This window comes from Homo sapiens, chromosome 2 (assembly GCF_000001405.40).
Source record: "Homo sapiens chromosome 2, GRCh38.p14 Primary Assembly".
NCBI lineage: Eukaryota > Metazoa > Chordata > Mammalia > Primates > Hominidae > Homo > Homo sapiens.
This window is the reverse complement of record NC_000002.12, coordinates 102470035-102487255: the sequence shown is the minus strand read 5'-3', so window position 1 is coordinate 102487255 and position 17221 is coordinate 102470035. Positions and strand designations below refer to the sequence as shown.

The 17221-nt window shown below is 41.8% G+C and overlaps 1 protein-coding gene across 2 annotated transcripts in view; it reads right to left on the bottom strand.

Moving 5' to 3' along the window:
• Nucleotides 1–14030, bottom strand: part of SLC9A4 (solute carrier family 9 member A4) — a 60747-nt gene extending 46717 nt beyond the window's left edge. For both annotated transcript variants that reach the window (NM_001011552.4, XM_011511158.2), the window contains exons 1-2: nucleotides 13241–14030; nucleotides 7954–8417 (exon numbers count right to left, since the gene is read on the bottom strand). In NM_001011552.4, coding sequence (NP_001011552.2) covers nucleotides 7954–8417; nucleotides 13241–13496 — 720 coding nt within the window. In that variant the 5' untranslated portion in view covers nucleotides 13497–14030. The remainder of the gene's footprint in view (nucleotides 1–7953; nucleotides 8418–13240) is intronic.
• Between the last annotated feature and the right edge of the window lie 3191 nt (nucleotides 14031–17221).

Genomic DNA, 17221 nt, shown 5'->3' with positions numbered 1-17221 from the left:
CTCTCTCTCTGTTTCTCTCTCTCTTGGTTTACTTCTCCCTCTGCCTGTGACACACACACACACACACACACACACACCAGCTGTGAGCTGAGAAGTTCACCGTGAAAACCTCCAAATATTTTGGCTGAAAGTGCATGTCTGAAGGCAAATGCCTGAATCCTTTGGGACCCATGTCTGGGCTGGATGGGCACCAGACTCCTGCCCTCCCCAACAGAAGGTCAGAAGCAGCCCCAGGGGAGAGCCTCACAGATAAAGCACTTGCTGAGACTTTGCAGGGTTGTGGAGTTCACTCCCTAGGCACCCAAAGCCAACCAATCAAGGCTGCATGGCCCTTTCTGCCTGAAGGTTAGGCGTAATCTCCATTTCTATGCCTGACAGACACCCGGCAGATGGCAGATGGTTGTTCTTGTGTGGACCTATCTCTGGCACACAGGAAGGGCAAGAAGACATTTGTGTATCACCTGCCCTGTGCCAGGCATCCGAAGTCTCATTTCACAACATCCTCACAATCACCCTTTGAAGTCAGATTAATCATTCTCATCTTACATATGTGGAAACTGAGGCACAAAAGGATTGGGTCCCAAGATCGTGCAACTTGTAGGTCCACGCCCCCCATACACAGTGAGATCCCTGTATTCTTGGCCAGAGGAAACTGTCTCTTGGTAAAGCTATCTCCTCTTGGCTCCCATCCTTGGAATCAGAATAAAATGAAAGAAAATATAAAGAAGACAAGGAAAAGATGCCTACTCTCCCCTCAAGATGCTGTTCAAGTGCACATACAGCTCTTCTTTAGGAAAAGCTGAGACTGCAACGTTCAGATAGACAGACACGAAGATGTGGCATCATTAGGGTGTCAGGAGAGCTCTGTGGCTCAGACGTACTCATGCAGGTGGACTTGGATGAATAACACCAAACACAGGGGCTCACTCTGTGCCACGTGCTATTTTGAATGCATTACGTGTATCAATCCATTTTAACCCTCCATCAACCATATCTCCATATTACAGAAAGGAAACTGAGGCCCAGAGAGGGTAAGTGATTCACCTGAAGTCACTCAGCTTGCAAGGAGTGGAGGCAGGACCTGCAATGAAGCATATGGCTTCCCATCCATGTTCTTGGCTATGCTTTACTACTTTTTGAATAAGAAGTAATAGAGTAAGGGTCCCTTTTGAGGCAGGAAAATATAAAGCAGGAGGAATCATGAAGGAAAATTTGCCCTCAAATGAATAGGCTGGATACATGGTTCACCCTCATGTGCCCTGTGTCCAGGACAGTGGGGGTGCAGGACACGTGCATGACAAGGTGTGGGGAAAGAGAGATAGGACCCTGGGACTCTTCCCTCTGCCCATGCCTGCCCCTGATTTTATCCCACCCTTAGCGTTTAGGTTCAGGAAGCAACTCTGAAGTTTGGCGGTGACAGTTAATTTGAGGAAAATCACCCCAGTTTGCTCCCTCTTGGGGGCTTGAGGAAAGAGGGCTTCAGTCACTGGAAACAGAGACCTGGGCAGCAGGCCAGCCCCAGGGCCAACATGGCCCCTGCCCACCTCTTCTAGTCCCCACTGCTTGCCGCCTCATCATTATTCACTCTTCCTGCTGCATTCGTTCTTCCACTAGAGCCCTTGACTCAGCCCCCTCCGCAATGCTCCATTCTAGATGCTGAGTCCTGTGACTGCAGGAGGGAATGGCATGGAGAGAAATTAAGAGAGCCAACAGGCAACTAGCCAGCAAAGTTATGTTGCTACAGGGACAGACAGATGAGAAGAGAAGACGGCAAAGGAATTCTAGCATGAGGGATCAGGAGATATAGAATCTAATGCTGGCAGCAAGAATCCACAATAAATAGAGGGCAAATTGCAAACTGCATGAAAGGTCAATGGTCTCTGATAGAAACTGTTGCCACTGATTGCCTCACCCAAAGGGAATTGCTGGCTGGGCAAAGCAGTGAGTATGACTTTTCACTCTGTCTCTGGGATACTGAGCTGCATAGAATAAACTCTAGTGAATGAATAGATAAATGACTTCTATGAGAATCTGTGTCTTTATAACAAAAATAACAGTGAAGAAACTTAGGCACATGGCGATCTGCTAAGTCACCCAAGAGGCCTGAAGGACCGAGAAGGGTCAGTACAGAGATGTGGACCTAGACAGTCTGGGTCCAGGGGGTCTCTGTCCTTAACCACTGTGTACTATCACCACCTCATTAAGGTGCCATGAGGCTTAAATAAGGAAAATGGCATGAAGCACCCATCAAGGTGAATGGCCCAGTGCTCAGAACATTTAGCTCCACTTCCCCTCCCACTATCCTCCTAGAGAATGGCATCCAGAGCCAGGAAGATGTCACCAGAGGAGGGAGCAAGAGTAGGAGGGGAGAGAGGGATGAGGAAAAGGGGAAGTACCGGGTGGCAGTCAAGAGCAGAGACACCCTGGAGTCAGGCTGCTTGGGTTCCAGCTTCAACCCTGGCCTGTCTGGGCCTTTGACCTCTCTGATGAGGTAGAGGAGATAAGGAGCTAGGGGTGATAGAAAGCTTGGTGGCCTCACTTTGTTGCTTATCCAGCAAGCTGATCCAAGAAAACGAAGGCAGATTATAAATCTAAGAACAATCCGCCCTCCCATCTGTGAGGTGGTGCCATATTTAAAATCAGCTGCTTGTTCAGAATGAGCCGACCACTAAACAGTGTCCGGGAGCTGCTTCAATACAAAGTCATGGCCAGCATTCATTGAGTGCTTACTCCAGGTTGGGCATTCACTCTGCTAAGAGCTGAATATAAATTTTCCAGTGAGCCTATGAGCTGAAGAATGTCATTATCCCAATTTTACAGCAAGAGGAGGCACAACAGGATCAGAATGTTGCCTCAAGCCATAGTGTTTTGCAGAAAGAACACTGGCTTCACTCACTGGACTTAAGTCCAGTCTCCTCATCGGTAGCATGTGGGTTCTCTCTTGTCACTCCCAGTTGCATGAGTGGAAAATTCAAAAGGTAAGGAAAAAAGGAAAAAGTTTGGGAGGAGGGAGAGCTGTGCACACCCATGTCTGCTCTGTCATTGTTCAGGCAGTGTGTCCTTGTGCAGTTTATTTTAACCTCCTTTGCCTTATTGTCTTCATTCATGAAGTAAGGGCACTTGGTCATGCCTCTTAGTAAAAGCAAAGGGTTTAATAAAACACTAATAAATGCAAAAGTGACATAGTAGATGCACCTGTCTTCCTGCTGTGATTTTGGCCATGAGATTTAACTAGGGATATTGTTTATGCAATTTTAGAAACATTCTTTTTTTAAAATAAAAAATTGTATATATTTAAGCTGTACAACATGATGTTTATATATGCTAATATGTTAATATATAAATATATATGAGATATTTTTCTATATATTATATATGTATATATGTGCATGTGTGTGTATATTGTGTGTGTGTATATATATATATATATATATATATATATATATATATATATATGCTGTACATGGTGAGATAGTTACTAAGGTCAAGCTAATTTTTGTATCCATCTTCTCACGTTGTAACCATTTGTGTATAGTGGCGGGTGAGGACACTAAAGCTATCTGGGTTTTGTCTCCCTCCTTTTGCCTACCATTAAGCGTATGTGTGTTCTGGTGATTAGTGTCATAACCTAAAATATTCAGCAAGAGGGAGAAAAAAGTGGGACAAGAGATCTGGAGAATCAGATTCATCAATATTTCGACTGTTGGGAGCAACCCCTTCTCTTTGGTGGGAAGGCAGCTCTTTCGTGGATGAAGATCTGCAGCATTGTCGCATGTAACCCACAATCACAGGCCACCTTCTGGATGACTCAGCCTCCTTGCCGAAAAGGCATGCTTGTGACTGCTGCCCCCAAGAAGGCTCCTTCCTCAATGAAAGGGTGAGGTCAAGGCCCTTAGCTCAAAATACAACTGGACGGCAGCAAGTACCCGTTCCTTTTCAGCTGTGTTCTAAATATGGCCCTGGGGCTTCTCTGGTTTCACTTAGGGACCCAGCAGTGCCAGTGCACACTTAATACTCACTGTGCTGTGGGTGACCACAGAGTGGCCCAAGATTGAAGTGTGGACAACCCCACGGAGCCAACGCAACAGCAGCTCTACCCAGCAGAGGTCACAGCAGTGTCCTCAGCAGATACTCCGGTAGCTTGAAAATTATGATTTTATCCTGAAATGATCATTCTTATAAATGTCTCCCCCAAAGCAATTAAACTTTGGGGAAGTCAAACACATGTTGCTAACAAACAAACCCCAACCAGAAACCAAGCCAGAGTTGGCTCTCCATGTGAAATCTAGAGACAACTCAGGAGGAAGTCAGATTCTCAAGCTCGAGGAAGGAGTCAAATGCTTTCCTTGGTAATTGATAAAGACTCTGCCTTGGCAAGAACTTTTGTAGATTATATCTGAGTTTTTGATGAATAAAGAATATGCTGTGAAAATTAAAGAGATGGCATTTATCCAGTAGTATCTTGACCTCTGTAATAATTTATGAAGGAGAGGTTGAATAATTGCTTCAGAATGGATTTCCAAGGGGTGTCCCTGGTCTTGTCACAGATAAACACCCTCCAGGACATTGTCAGTAGTGCGGGTGAGAGTAACCAAATAACCTCCAAAAAACTTGGATCTGAGTGAAAGAAGGTTATCTCTGGGAGATGAACTAGGAAATGGACACATCATGGGTCAGAGGGGCTACCTTAAGAGATGGAATGGATTCCCAGACAACGACACTTACTCATTTGTAACAAAACTGAAAGTATGACAGTATTTATAGAAGGAATGGGTTGGGGAAAGGGGATCTCAGAGACTAGTCCAGTGTCGTCTGGGGAGATGGATAAGGTCCTTGTTCTAGGCGTATCATCATTTTATATCAACATATATCAGTTTCTCTCAACCTAAAGGCAATAAATCCATAGTTCTCAAACTTCAGCGGTCATCTGAGGTTTTAATAACACAGGTTTCTAGGTTCAACTCCCAGACAGTCTGGGTCAGAGGGTATGAAATGGGACTGGACATCCGAAGACTCATCAGTCCCACCAGTGTGATGCAGAAACACTTGGCCTGAGGACCAGACTCTGAGAAATGAAATCTCTGAATCCTATGACAGTCTGGAGTCCAGACTCCCCGGGCAGCTTCCTGACAATGTGGCTTTTTGTGAAGCTTGCCCGCAAGGGTAGAATGCACCAGCCTGATGATTCTAGTGCCTTGCCTCAAAAGTTAGGGATTCTCGCTATGAATAAATGATTTGACGTCCGGCTTCATGTATGGGCCTCCTTCGCTTAGGAAATCCATGGGTATGGCACAGATTATTTTTCAAAGGGGGACTTTTCCTCTCTGTACTATTGTTGCATAAAGTTTAAAAAAAAAAAGATCTTGCTTGCCAAATGAATTAGTAAATTGTAAATGGGAAAAAAATTAAAAACAGAATGTTTGCATGTCTTTTGGTTAGACACAATCTCTGGAAGCAAAATATGAAACCCAGGAGCAAAAAAAGAGTCATTAGCAGGTTTCACTATATAAAAATTTAGAACTTTTATAGGGTAAAATATACCATAATCTAAAAAAATTTAAATAATAGAATGGAAGAAAATATTTGGTCTTTATGGGACATTGAAAAGTTTAAAGGTAAGATAATTTAATGAATTCCTATAAATCTTTTTTTTAAGCAAGTGAAGAAAAATGAGCAAGACGCAACATTTGCATATAAAAATTGGGATATGACATACTTATACTAAAAAAAATTATTCATTGTTTATCTGAAATTTAAATTTAACTTGGTGTCCAGTATTTTTTTAAGTTTGTCAACCCAGAAAGGACATCAGCTTTCAATGTACAGCATGTGACAGAGTCATGATTTGCAGTTGCTGAAAAGTTGCTTACTATTATAATGCAAATTAAAACAAACATGAGAAATCCTTTTTGCTCATGGCATTAGAAAACATTAAGGAAACAATGTCCCTTGTCAAAGATATAAGAAAATATGGGTGCAATACACTAAGGAAGTATAAGCTGATAAAGGCTTTCTGGAAAATCTTGACGACTGTGTTCCAGGGCCTGAAATTAAGGTTTGATATTATGTAATGCCACGATATTTGGCAAAATTATGAGGACCTCAACTGGTCTACATGCAAGTTTCCCTCCCCACGCCGATCCCTGGATAAGGTGCCCCAGCCAAACCACCCTCCTTATCAAGGGTACCAGGCACAGTTCCTGCTTCTTCCTGAGTAGAAGGTCTTAGGTCCCTGCCAACCTGCAAAATTATTCCAACAACTCAATCATCTCCTCCTGTGAGAACCAGGGAGCACCTCACCCTCTTGTTACCACAAAGCCTGCCTCCCACAGCTCCTGGTTGTTCATTCCGTTCCCAAGCGCAGCCTCTGTGTGGTCCTGCGGGGCATGTGGCATCCTCCTCCCCTTGGCAAGTACAGGTGACTGATAAACTGTTGTCAGTCTCATCTGCCCAGTGTTGGGTGTCTGTGTTTGGCCATCTATAACCTTAGAGTGAGAATCTCTCATTTACCAAGGAGGCAGATAGGAGCTGATTAAAACAGCAGCACATTTTAAATTGTTAAATGTACATACTGTTTAAACTGGAAATTTCACTTCTAAGAAAACATCATGTAAAAATACGAATGCAAAGAGAGAGGCATGCAGAAAAAAAGAATATTCAATATGCATTTCAACATTGCTTGTAAGAATGAAACATTGGAAACAACCTGAATGACGCATTCATCAGGAAACTGCTAAATAAGTTACTGTAAACTTAATTTATGCAATACTATGCAATAGCTGAAAACACATAGAAAGAGGGCCAGACACGGTTGCAGTGAGCCGAGGCTGCATCATTGCACTCCAGCCTGGGCAACAAGAGTGAAACTCTGTCTCAAAAAAAAGAAAAAAAAAAACAAGACACGGAAAGACTTGTTATATCTAAGCAATACATAAAATACACCCACTTTATATTAAAAAATACAGATCACACACACATAGATGATAAAAGATTTGCAAAAATGTTGTATATGCATATAAAAAATACAGGAGGGAAAAGGTCAAGCTGATAAAAGTGGTTGCCTCTTTCATAGAGGAGGAGGTGAGGGCAAGCAGAAGTTTTTGTGTTTCATGCTATATAGTTTTGTACTGTTTGATTCTTACAGTGAAAATGTATTCTAGTATTACTTATGTGCTGTGATAGAAATTTAAAAATAAGAAAAGTATATGAAAGTATGTATAAAAGTCTTCTTGTCTAACAACTGCTGAAGGTTTTTAGTAATTAATGAAATTGAGCAACGGGACTGGCTAGTTCTCAATATTCCAGCACCCCCAGCCTACAGACATCCCCTGAGCCTTAATGCTGGGTGTTGCTCAAGCCTGTATGTTCTTCTCAGTTTCCCACCAGAAAGGCTCATAAGCAAAAACGCCTCATTCACTTTTTTCCATACAAGTCCTGCAACTAAGTGATACAAAAACTAACACATTTTCACAAATCTGTTGTCATCTCTTCCCTGACCCTTATCTTTTATTTCACCTAATCTAATGTGGTATGTTAAAAACAAAACAAAAATGCATATAAAGGGAATAAGAGTGAGGTCTGATGATGGAGAGGAAATAAAAACATCAGTTTCTGCTTTAGCTGTCGTGAAACCCCAGAAGGGCCATTAGCAACAGTTTCTGTTTGCTAAGTGAAAAAGTACATTTAACTCAAGAATGATACGTTCTCTCTCCTTTTCCACTCTTTAACGAAACTAGTTGGTTTGTGAATGACAAGCAGTGTGAGTGAACCGTTATGTAGGCAGTGCAGATCCCAAGGAAATTCACCAGAACTCGGACCACACCGCATGGGCTGAAGCTCATCCCTGTCCTGCTGCGCTGAGCCACACTGGAGCCGTCTCCACAGCCTCCGGTCCCCAGCCCCACCCCGAACCCTCATCTCCCCCGGAAGCCGGGCGGGCACATGACATCTCACCACAGTAATGCCATCATTGAGCAGGGCCTCCCCAAAGATCATCATGTAGAGCTGCTCGTTCACGCGCGCTTCCTCAAACACGGCTAGCACGGCCACTGGGTCCACGGCGGAGATCAGGCTGCCGAACAGCAGGTTCTGCAGCAGGTTGACGTCGCCCAGGCCAAAGGCCTTCACCTGGCAGATGAGGTAGAGGGAGAGGCCAATGCCCAAGGCGTTGATCAGGGCCCCCAATACTGCCCACCACAGGATGGAGCCGATGTTCTCAAAGAAGGGCCGGGTGGGCATGAAGTAGCCGCCCTCCAGAACGATGGGTGGCAGGAGATACAGGAAGTAGATGCTGGAGTCCATGACCGGAGGCGATTTGTGGTCGGTGCCGAAGATGATGCCGCCCACCAGCGCCCCCACCAGGATGAGGAGGCAGCTTTCTGGCATGAGGCCTGGCAGCCTGTGGTAGAGGTGGAAGCCTGCAGAACAGCGAAGAGCAGTTAGGTGCTTGCAAACGAAACGGTCTGGGTGTACCTGAGGTCTTTTAAAGTCAAGCAGACAGGACCGTGGACAAGCTGACTGGCATCTCAGCCTCAGCGTCCCATCTGTAGCAGGAACTGGTAGTGTCATGAGGGTCGCCAATAAGATCAGTAGGTAACATGCCCAGCTCGGCGCAGGTCACAGAATCATTCACAGCCAGCTGCCCCCTCCCCCATCCTCCTTCCTGCTTTCCTATCTTACAGGGACCTGCGAGGGTGCATGAGGGAAAAGGAGAAACGAGGGTGAAACTTTTGCACTCGTGCAAGCCCAGCTTTCAAGTTCATGCAGAATCTATCATAGTCACCAAAACCTCAGCTTGTTCCAAACTTACCTGACCTCATTCCCCTCTTCACCAAACACATACACAAAAATTAAAAGTCCTTTATTTTGTCTCCTGTGTTTAACCAATGACATTGCTATCTGGTCAGCCACTGAAGAGGGAAATCAGGTCGCATTCTCATGAGTGACCCTTCATGCATTCAGCTCTGTATTTATTTCTTATGTCATGACTCTCACTCACTACACCTAAAATCTATCCCCTCCTCTCCATTTCTTTGGCCACTGCCTTTATTTAGGATTTCCCCATTTCTCATCTTAATGATTGCATTGTCTTCTTGACCTCCAGTCTCACCACACTCTACTGCCAGATGATTTTTCTACACCATGGGTCTCTGATTGTCTCAATTCCCACCTAAGATTCTGAAGGCACACAAAGCATCTTCTGGATTGTAAACCAAGGGTATTAGTTGTGCAAAGACGATGTTAAGTACCGCCAGGTGGAAGACCAAAGAGATAGACAACTGCAATTCCCACTATTGATAAGGTTTTGGAAACAAGACATGAACAAAGAAGAAGATGACATGTAAGTATATAATGAAGGGTATATTGAACATATCAACAAACATGGTGAGAGTTCAGAGCTCAGGAGACCACCACAGGGCTCTCTCCAAGTCTGTCTCCCACACACTCTGCACTATCTTTATGTAGCCTGCATTCAGCCAAAGGACCTTGTCACTCTGAAGGCCTATTACTTGTCTTCTCATTCCGTTGTCACTGCTTGGATTGTCCTTTTCCTTGGTCCCTTTAAGTCCTGCTCATCCTTTGAGGCTTAGCTTTCCCTAGCTCCTTCCTGAGTTCATATCTTCCTCTGAATTACTAATAATAAAACATTTTATCTCACTCCGTCTAATAACAATAATCCCTGTCTACTATGTTTTGTGCATGATTCATGTCTCCTACTAATGTGGAAACTCCCCAGACTCAGGCAGAATGATTTACATCTTCATATGTCCCCAAATGCTTAGCACAGTATCTTGTCCACAACAGCTGGCTTATTTGCTGAGTGTATAAATGAATGAACAGTTAAATGTTTATCAGAGAAGCTTTTTCATGACAAGAGATTGAACAGATTGTTGGAGAATGATGAGGATTTGCATATTTGGGTGACAGAATGGGAGAAATTTTAGGTGGGGAGAACATCAAGAGTGAAATAAGAGAGGAAGAAATGGCCCAGCCAGATATCTTTGACATTCATTGAGGGGATCCACCTGGCTGGAGCAACCTTTGAACTGGGAAAAGTGTCAGGAGAGGACTTGGAAAATGATTTTGAAACAAATAATGGAAGACCTTGAATTCAAACCTAAGGAAGGCGGTGGACTTCCAGCCATAGGCCATGGGGAGCCAGCAAATATCTCCTTGGGAATTGTTAGATTCACCCATCCATAGATGATATGAGCTTCCCTGACCATGGCTTTGAACTTCTCCATTCACTATAAGCAAGAAAGTTAACACAACAGGGTATAATTATCACCAAGGAATACCATCCCCACTTTCATTTGGCTTCAGGGTTGGTGTAAGCACCTCTTCTGGAGCACTGAACTCATCATTTTCTAATCACTGCTTATTTCTGCATTTCCTCTTCCTCCTCTTTATTTTACTTATTTCTTCTTCTCCTCCTATTTCTCCTCCTCCTTCTTCATCTTCTCTTTGTCCAACTCCTGCTGCTCCTTCTTACTCTCTTCCTCCTCCTTCTTCCTTTTTCCTCCTCCTCCTTCTCCTTATCCATCTCCTCCTTCTTCTCTTTCTCCTTACCGTTTTCCTTCTCCTCCTTCTTCAGTTAGTGCTTATTTTAACCAAACTTAACTTTTTTCAATATGTAAAGGAGGTGGAAGAGCCCATAGTGTGATTTTCTCAGGCCCTGTGGCTCCCCAGTTTGGCCCTGCTTCCAGGAATCCAGTTTCCTGAAATGGTTCCAACATTCACCTGCCTTAAGCCAAGTTGCTCTCTACACAGTTGTAGCAGGAAGAGGCCACACACCTATAAGTAGGGCCTTGTAAAGGGAAATGCTACATGCCTTTCACATTTTAAAACTTCTCCCTTTCATGATGGACAATAGAGTCAATCATTTAAAATTTACAGTTTCAGGCCTTAGAGCTTAAATGGACACAAATATTAAAAGTCCTGTCTGAAAGTCAAAGAACGCCCTACAATTATGTTCTTCCCAAAGATTCAAGAAACATTCATCTGTGATGTTCTAAGATGTGGAACTGAAGTAGAAGATAAACCACAAAGTCTGAGGTGGCTTTGTATTATCTTTGTTATACATTATCTTTGTTTTATAAGTGCATATAGTTGGGTGTTTTAAAAAGGATTGGGGGAGAGTTTTGATGTTTTTCTGTCAGAGTATCTATGGGCAATAAGTACTAAGTTAACCTATCTTCCCCGTTAGACCAAGTCCCTTGAGGTCAGGGACCATGGTCATTTCCACATATTTCATGGGTTCTCAGAAAATGTACCTTGATGGAATGAGGAATAAAAGAATGAATCATAATAATGATTATTAATTTTATTCTGATTCATGTTTTATAACATAATCTTTAAAAACTCATATGCATTTCTTAAGTGCTGAAATTATAAATCATCATCATCATTATTATTTTGGCCCTAGTAAACAAGCCCTTATACATAAAACTACCAGCCCAGTAATTGGCACATAGTATATATTCAATAAATATGGCCTTTTTATCTCCTCACTCCTCATGTCCATATGGAATATAAAAATAATCTAAATTCTTGAAGACTAGTAAATATGAAATTGTACTCGAATAAGCGTGTTCTGATATCCTACTCTTTTTTTCTAAAGTATGTTAAATTACATCATGAAAATCAAGAACATTTAAACCAACAGTTCTATGAATAATCGTATTTTCACAGTGTTCTTCGCTCCTAGACAGAATGAATCTGGGTGCATACAATGCCTCTACAAAACAAGCTAGGTTTTACACAAATATAAAACCAAGACAAAATGCAGCCTTTCTGCGTTTAGATGTTTACTGATAAACAGAGCAACTAGCTAGTCAGTGACAGGACGAGTTTCCTGGTACTCAGATTGACTTGAGCCATTTCTGTGAAGAGGAAGCCAGGTTGTGGAATGGGGAGCAGGGAACACAGAATCTCTAGCATATTGTTTTAAAAGGAAAACTCAAGTACCAAGTAAGATCACCTTGAACACAATCAGTGTCTATATGATTTCACAAAAGATGTTAGACTGTTCTGAACTGAGAATGTTATCCATTTGGAAAGCCATTTTTACTTGTATACCTCTTAAAAATATAGTAAGATCCTTTGTGTAACTTATTCACTAAGCAAATTGCACAAGACTTCTTCAAACTAACATTCCTATTTAATATTCACACTTTACTAGCTCAAAATGAATAGCAACTATAAAGGAGAGTCTAAAGGGGACACCTATACCAGTGTCCCCACACCCACAGGGAGGGAGCTAAGTGAATAGCCAGAGCACACAGAAGGTAACTGCCAGACCTCAAGGCTCAACCCACATTACACACCCATCCTAGAGAAAACATACACATATAAATAAATGAGAATTAAAATGTTTCATTGATTCTATCTCAATAAGGCAATCTACATACTCAAATAGCATAAAGTTTATAGCTGAGGCAAAGGAGGCATTGTGCTTAGCATTTGAGATAATTATATTAATTTTCCACTTTAGAATAAGCTGGTTTTAAAGAGATAAGGAGGAGCAGTTAGGGATTAAACAGTCACAGAGTATAGCCACCTCTTTGGTTTTTGACACAAAGATCCCTTGATTGGAATTTAATCTATTAACTTGGATTCACTTTATTTCACAAAGGAAATTAGAGGTGCCTCACTGGCCCCACTTGGTAGGTATAAACTAATATTTTACTGACAGATATAATCTTATATGCCCCGACATCCCATCACTGAGTAATACAAGTTGCCTATGGTTTTCTTGTTTTTTGCTTTCTGTCAATTTGCAAGAAGCACACGCTACTTTTAAAGAATAAACAATGGGGTGATTGATGAAGCCCACAATTACACAGCCAAGAATATTTTACAGAAGAAACATTATGTGTTTCCTGAAATTTCCACCTTGCATCATGCCCAGGTCTACGTGCTTTATTCTCTATATTTTTAAAGCATAGAATTTGAGAGTTTTGCATGTCAACAATGTCACATGGTTGTCACCCTGAAATGAGAAGAAACCAACACAGCCCAGTACCCAGAAGTATGCTCTCAAATTTCAAAGAGCAATCTCAAAGTATTAAATAGCTTAGTAAAATGCAGTTATGACTTTCCCTTGACTGAAGGGAAGAGAATTTTTAATGTAATAGCAGTAACAGTTAAAATCCTCTTAGCCCGTTATCTATAAGGCATTTTCACATTCACTATCTTATGTAAAAAGATAACTCACCAAACCAGGTGTTTAAGGACTTACCTATTTTTGCAAGGGATGCTAGAAGTATCCAGAGAGTGACCTCATAAGGAATTTGCACATAGTCATAATCCAGTTCAAAAACAGATATCCCTTCCTCTGGCTCTGAGCTGGCAGCAGCAAACCAAGCGTTAGATGCATACTGAGCAGTGGAATTTGCAGATTCATTCAAATCAGAAGATGCTTCAGAACACTCAAGAGCCACTAGCAGTAGCAAACAATTCCAAGGACTGTAAGTCACGAACATCTGCAGAGCCATTCCTGTGGGCTTCTCCTACCTACACCCCTGTGTGGATGTGTGCCACACATCTGAAGTCGGGGAGGCTTCTAGAGAGTGACTGCATCCACCTGGGTCAAAAGTAATATAGGTACAGTCTGTGGGTCCTCCCAAGAAGATTCCGAGTGTGTTATTGAGCTCTGTATGTAGACACTTTCTAATCTGGTTTAAATCGTTTGTGTTCAGGCAACTCAGCTTCCAACTCAAATGCAGTTATTCAATAGACTTGTTAAAGTCCATGGAGCTACCTGGAGGACCTCCATCCAATCATGGCTTGAGCAATTTATGAAAGAAATAAAAATCTCTTCACTTAAAGGCATTTCCTCATTTCACTGCATACTGGCTTTGTCTTGTGGGTGAAAATTTAAAAGGATACTGTAGTGCTCATTCCACAGATCACTGGAGTCCTTCTAATGAGGAAAGGAAACCTTCCCTGTCTATCAGATCCCAAGAAGGAGCTACCTGATCTGCGCTTGTTCCTTCTCTCCTCCCCCTGTCCTCTCATTTGTTTTGAATGACCACGGCTTCAGGTAGCTCTGGAACTACACTTAATTATTTGCTTTGATTTGACTTTTGTAATGAAATCCTTTCTCTGAGGGTTCTCTGGAGGTCACACTGCTGACACCTAGTGGGCACCTGCAATACAACACCCTTGACACTTTCAGTTATGAACGTTAAGGTGACCATGAAATTATCTAAACCAGGACACTTTGGGGAATGAATAATAATGATAATTATGCAAAGCTATAGGCACAAACCAGAATTGTCCAGCAAACTGTCTTATATGGTCTCTATACATGAGGAAGAAGGAGGATAAGAAGGAGGTGGTAACAACAAGGATGGTAGCAAACACTGAAACTTTTGCATGTTACCAGACTCCATGAGCAGTCATTCATAGAAGGAATGAAGTTCCAGATCTCTATGAACTTTACACTATAATTTTTAAAAAACAGGAAGCCAAAGAACAAGTTCCATAAATACACCTAAATACCTGGATTTGTAAAACTCCATGGCACATCCAGATTTTCCATTTAAAAAACATTTGTTGTTGTTAAAAAGAAGCAGCATCATAGAATGTTGATGAAAGAATTTTGAGATAATTTTTATGAGCCTACTTCTCGCTCTTCTACTTGTTGCCAGGTGACCTTGGTGAAGTTAATTACCTTTCAGAAATTCCTTATCTGAAACAGAGAGGAAAATATCTGCCTCATTGAGTAGCTAGGAACATTAAATGAGATAAAGCAAGTAAAGAATTTGGCATGTAGTTGGCACTTAAATGTTAGTTTTTATTTTAAATTACATTTCTTATACTTTTAGGATAAGATACAACACTTTTGCAATGATTACTGATACTCAGTAAAAAATGAGAATAATACATCATCCATATACTACCCCAACATCTCTTTTACATCAAACTGCAAGATGCTTTGTGTTTTGTTTTTTCTTAGTTCATATTAGTGAGTGCAGGGGATTTCCCCCCAGCCAACACACACACACACACACACACACACACACACACACACACACACACACTCAGCTAACATCACTGGGAAATTGAGAAAGGAATGGTTGAGAAGGGCTAACACCTAGATGCAAATTCATAGTGAGGCAATAGAATTAAAAGTTCACATATGAATATTTTTTCTTTTTCCTTCAGTTTGACTCCAGAATAGATTAGATTCAGTCACTGAAATGAGACTATCAGGTGGACTACAAGAAGGGTACACATATTGAGTCGATTATTTTTTCTCAAAGAATATATGAATATCCTTTAATAGAAAGCTGCTTTATAATAGGTGTTTTATTTTTATTTGCATTTTATTGTACTTTTCTTTCTAAAAAGAAATGAGGGAGCAAGTCTCACATAGTGCCTTGTGGAAAGACCAAAATGAAGAATCAAAAGACTTATGTACTCAGACATTAGTTATCTGATTGGCTTTGGAAAATTACCTGTTTGAGCCTTATAGTTTGAGCCTTTATAGTTTTCTCATCTATAAAATAAAGATGCTGTCCATACCTGGTAACCCTTTCCTGCTCTAAAATTCCAAATTTTGTGAGTATATGGCAACCCGTTTAGCCTTATGATCACCTGATGGCTGATAGTCCAGTCCCTCTCAGAGTAAAAATGCCAATCTTGGGAGGATGGTAAGAGAACAACTTGAGCTCTGCAACAGTCTACTAACTTGTGGTCCAGGTTAAGATGTAGCAGCCCACTTCATCAACCATCGGCATCACTTCCACTCATGCAGTACTTTCTTACAGATGTCAGAACATTCTTTCTAAAATGATTTCTTAGTATAAGGTCCCCAGAAAGTGTATGTGAGACAAAGCTTCCATGAGAAGTGCAAACTAAGGGCAGCAAAAGTGAGGGGAAAGGGGGAAGAAAGGAGAAGCTCTTCTAGAATGACAGCATAAGAAGCACCATAGATTTCCTAGTGAAACAACTATAACTGGTGAGATCATTAAAAATCAAAAACAACCATCCAGTCTCTGGAAATTGTCCTAAGAGCAGACAGAAATTGAAAAAAATCTTCTAAATATTGGTAAGACCTGAAGGCACGGCCTGTTTTCTCTACCCACCCCTCAGCTCAATGTGAGAAAAACTCTATTCTGGATGAATGTAGCCACGAGGATGGGGCTGCCTCTAATCCCAGATCCCAGTTTATGACTACAGTTTCTACCCAGAAAAGTCAGGTTGTCAGCATACGTAACCAAACTCTGCCCTACCCCAATCCTAGCAATATGTTGAACAGACTCTATTGCAGGCAAATGTAACTGAATCTACCCCAGAAACAGCAAATTAGGAATACTGGACCCCGATAACTCTCAACTTACTCATAAGACTGAGTTTTCACAACACTGGAAATAAACCAAGATGACCAGTGGCTACTACCCCAGTCCAGCATCCCACTCACACACCAGGGGTATCACTCCAAGAGAAGTAGGTTACTATCTCTATCCCCATCTCCAGAGTAGTGGAACAGAGTTTCTGCCAAGGAGAGGAGACAGGCTATAGAACAGAGAACTCTATAACTAACTCTAAGTATGCTAACTTTATTTGGAACAAAATATAGAGATGTTCAAGCCTAAGGGCACTGTCAAAAACAATGAAGATTTAGGTTGTGAGCAAGGAAGAAAAGCTAGTAGCTCCATGATTGCAATAAGTTAAAGAGTAGACCAACTAGAAGTTTAACAGAAGAACCAGAAAAAGAGATGGCTGAAAAGAGCTCTCCTGAGGCTATAACATGTCTCAGAGACTGGTCTCAAAGATTACCCTGCAAAGGAGCCTGACTTTAATTGGATCGGACTGTGGAGTAATTTATAACCCAAGGCATTGTTGAAAACAATAGGCCATTTCAGCCAGCAGTTACTGGAGGCTAACAGTTGAGTGTGATGTCAATAGATACAACAGACCAGCTAGAAGCTTAATATATCAGTGAAAGAAAGTCAGAGAAGCCTGCTAAAACCATTGTTATTCTGGGGGAAGGGAGAAAGGGCTTAGGGGTATTATAACCATGCCCCAGGCTTCACTGGCTGAGGATCAGTATAAAAAGCTGCACAGGGAAATAGACTTTGCTGATATAGTCCAGCCAAGTCACTAAACAAACAGCAAACAATTAAGCAACAACAAGCCCTGGAGTTGGGGGAGGGGGAGAAAGCAGCATCAAGAATTGCTACAAGAAATCATCTAAAATATCCAGTTTTTA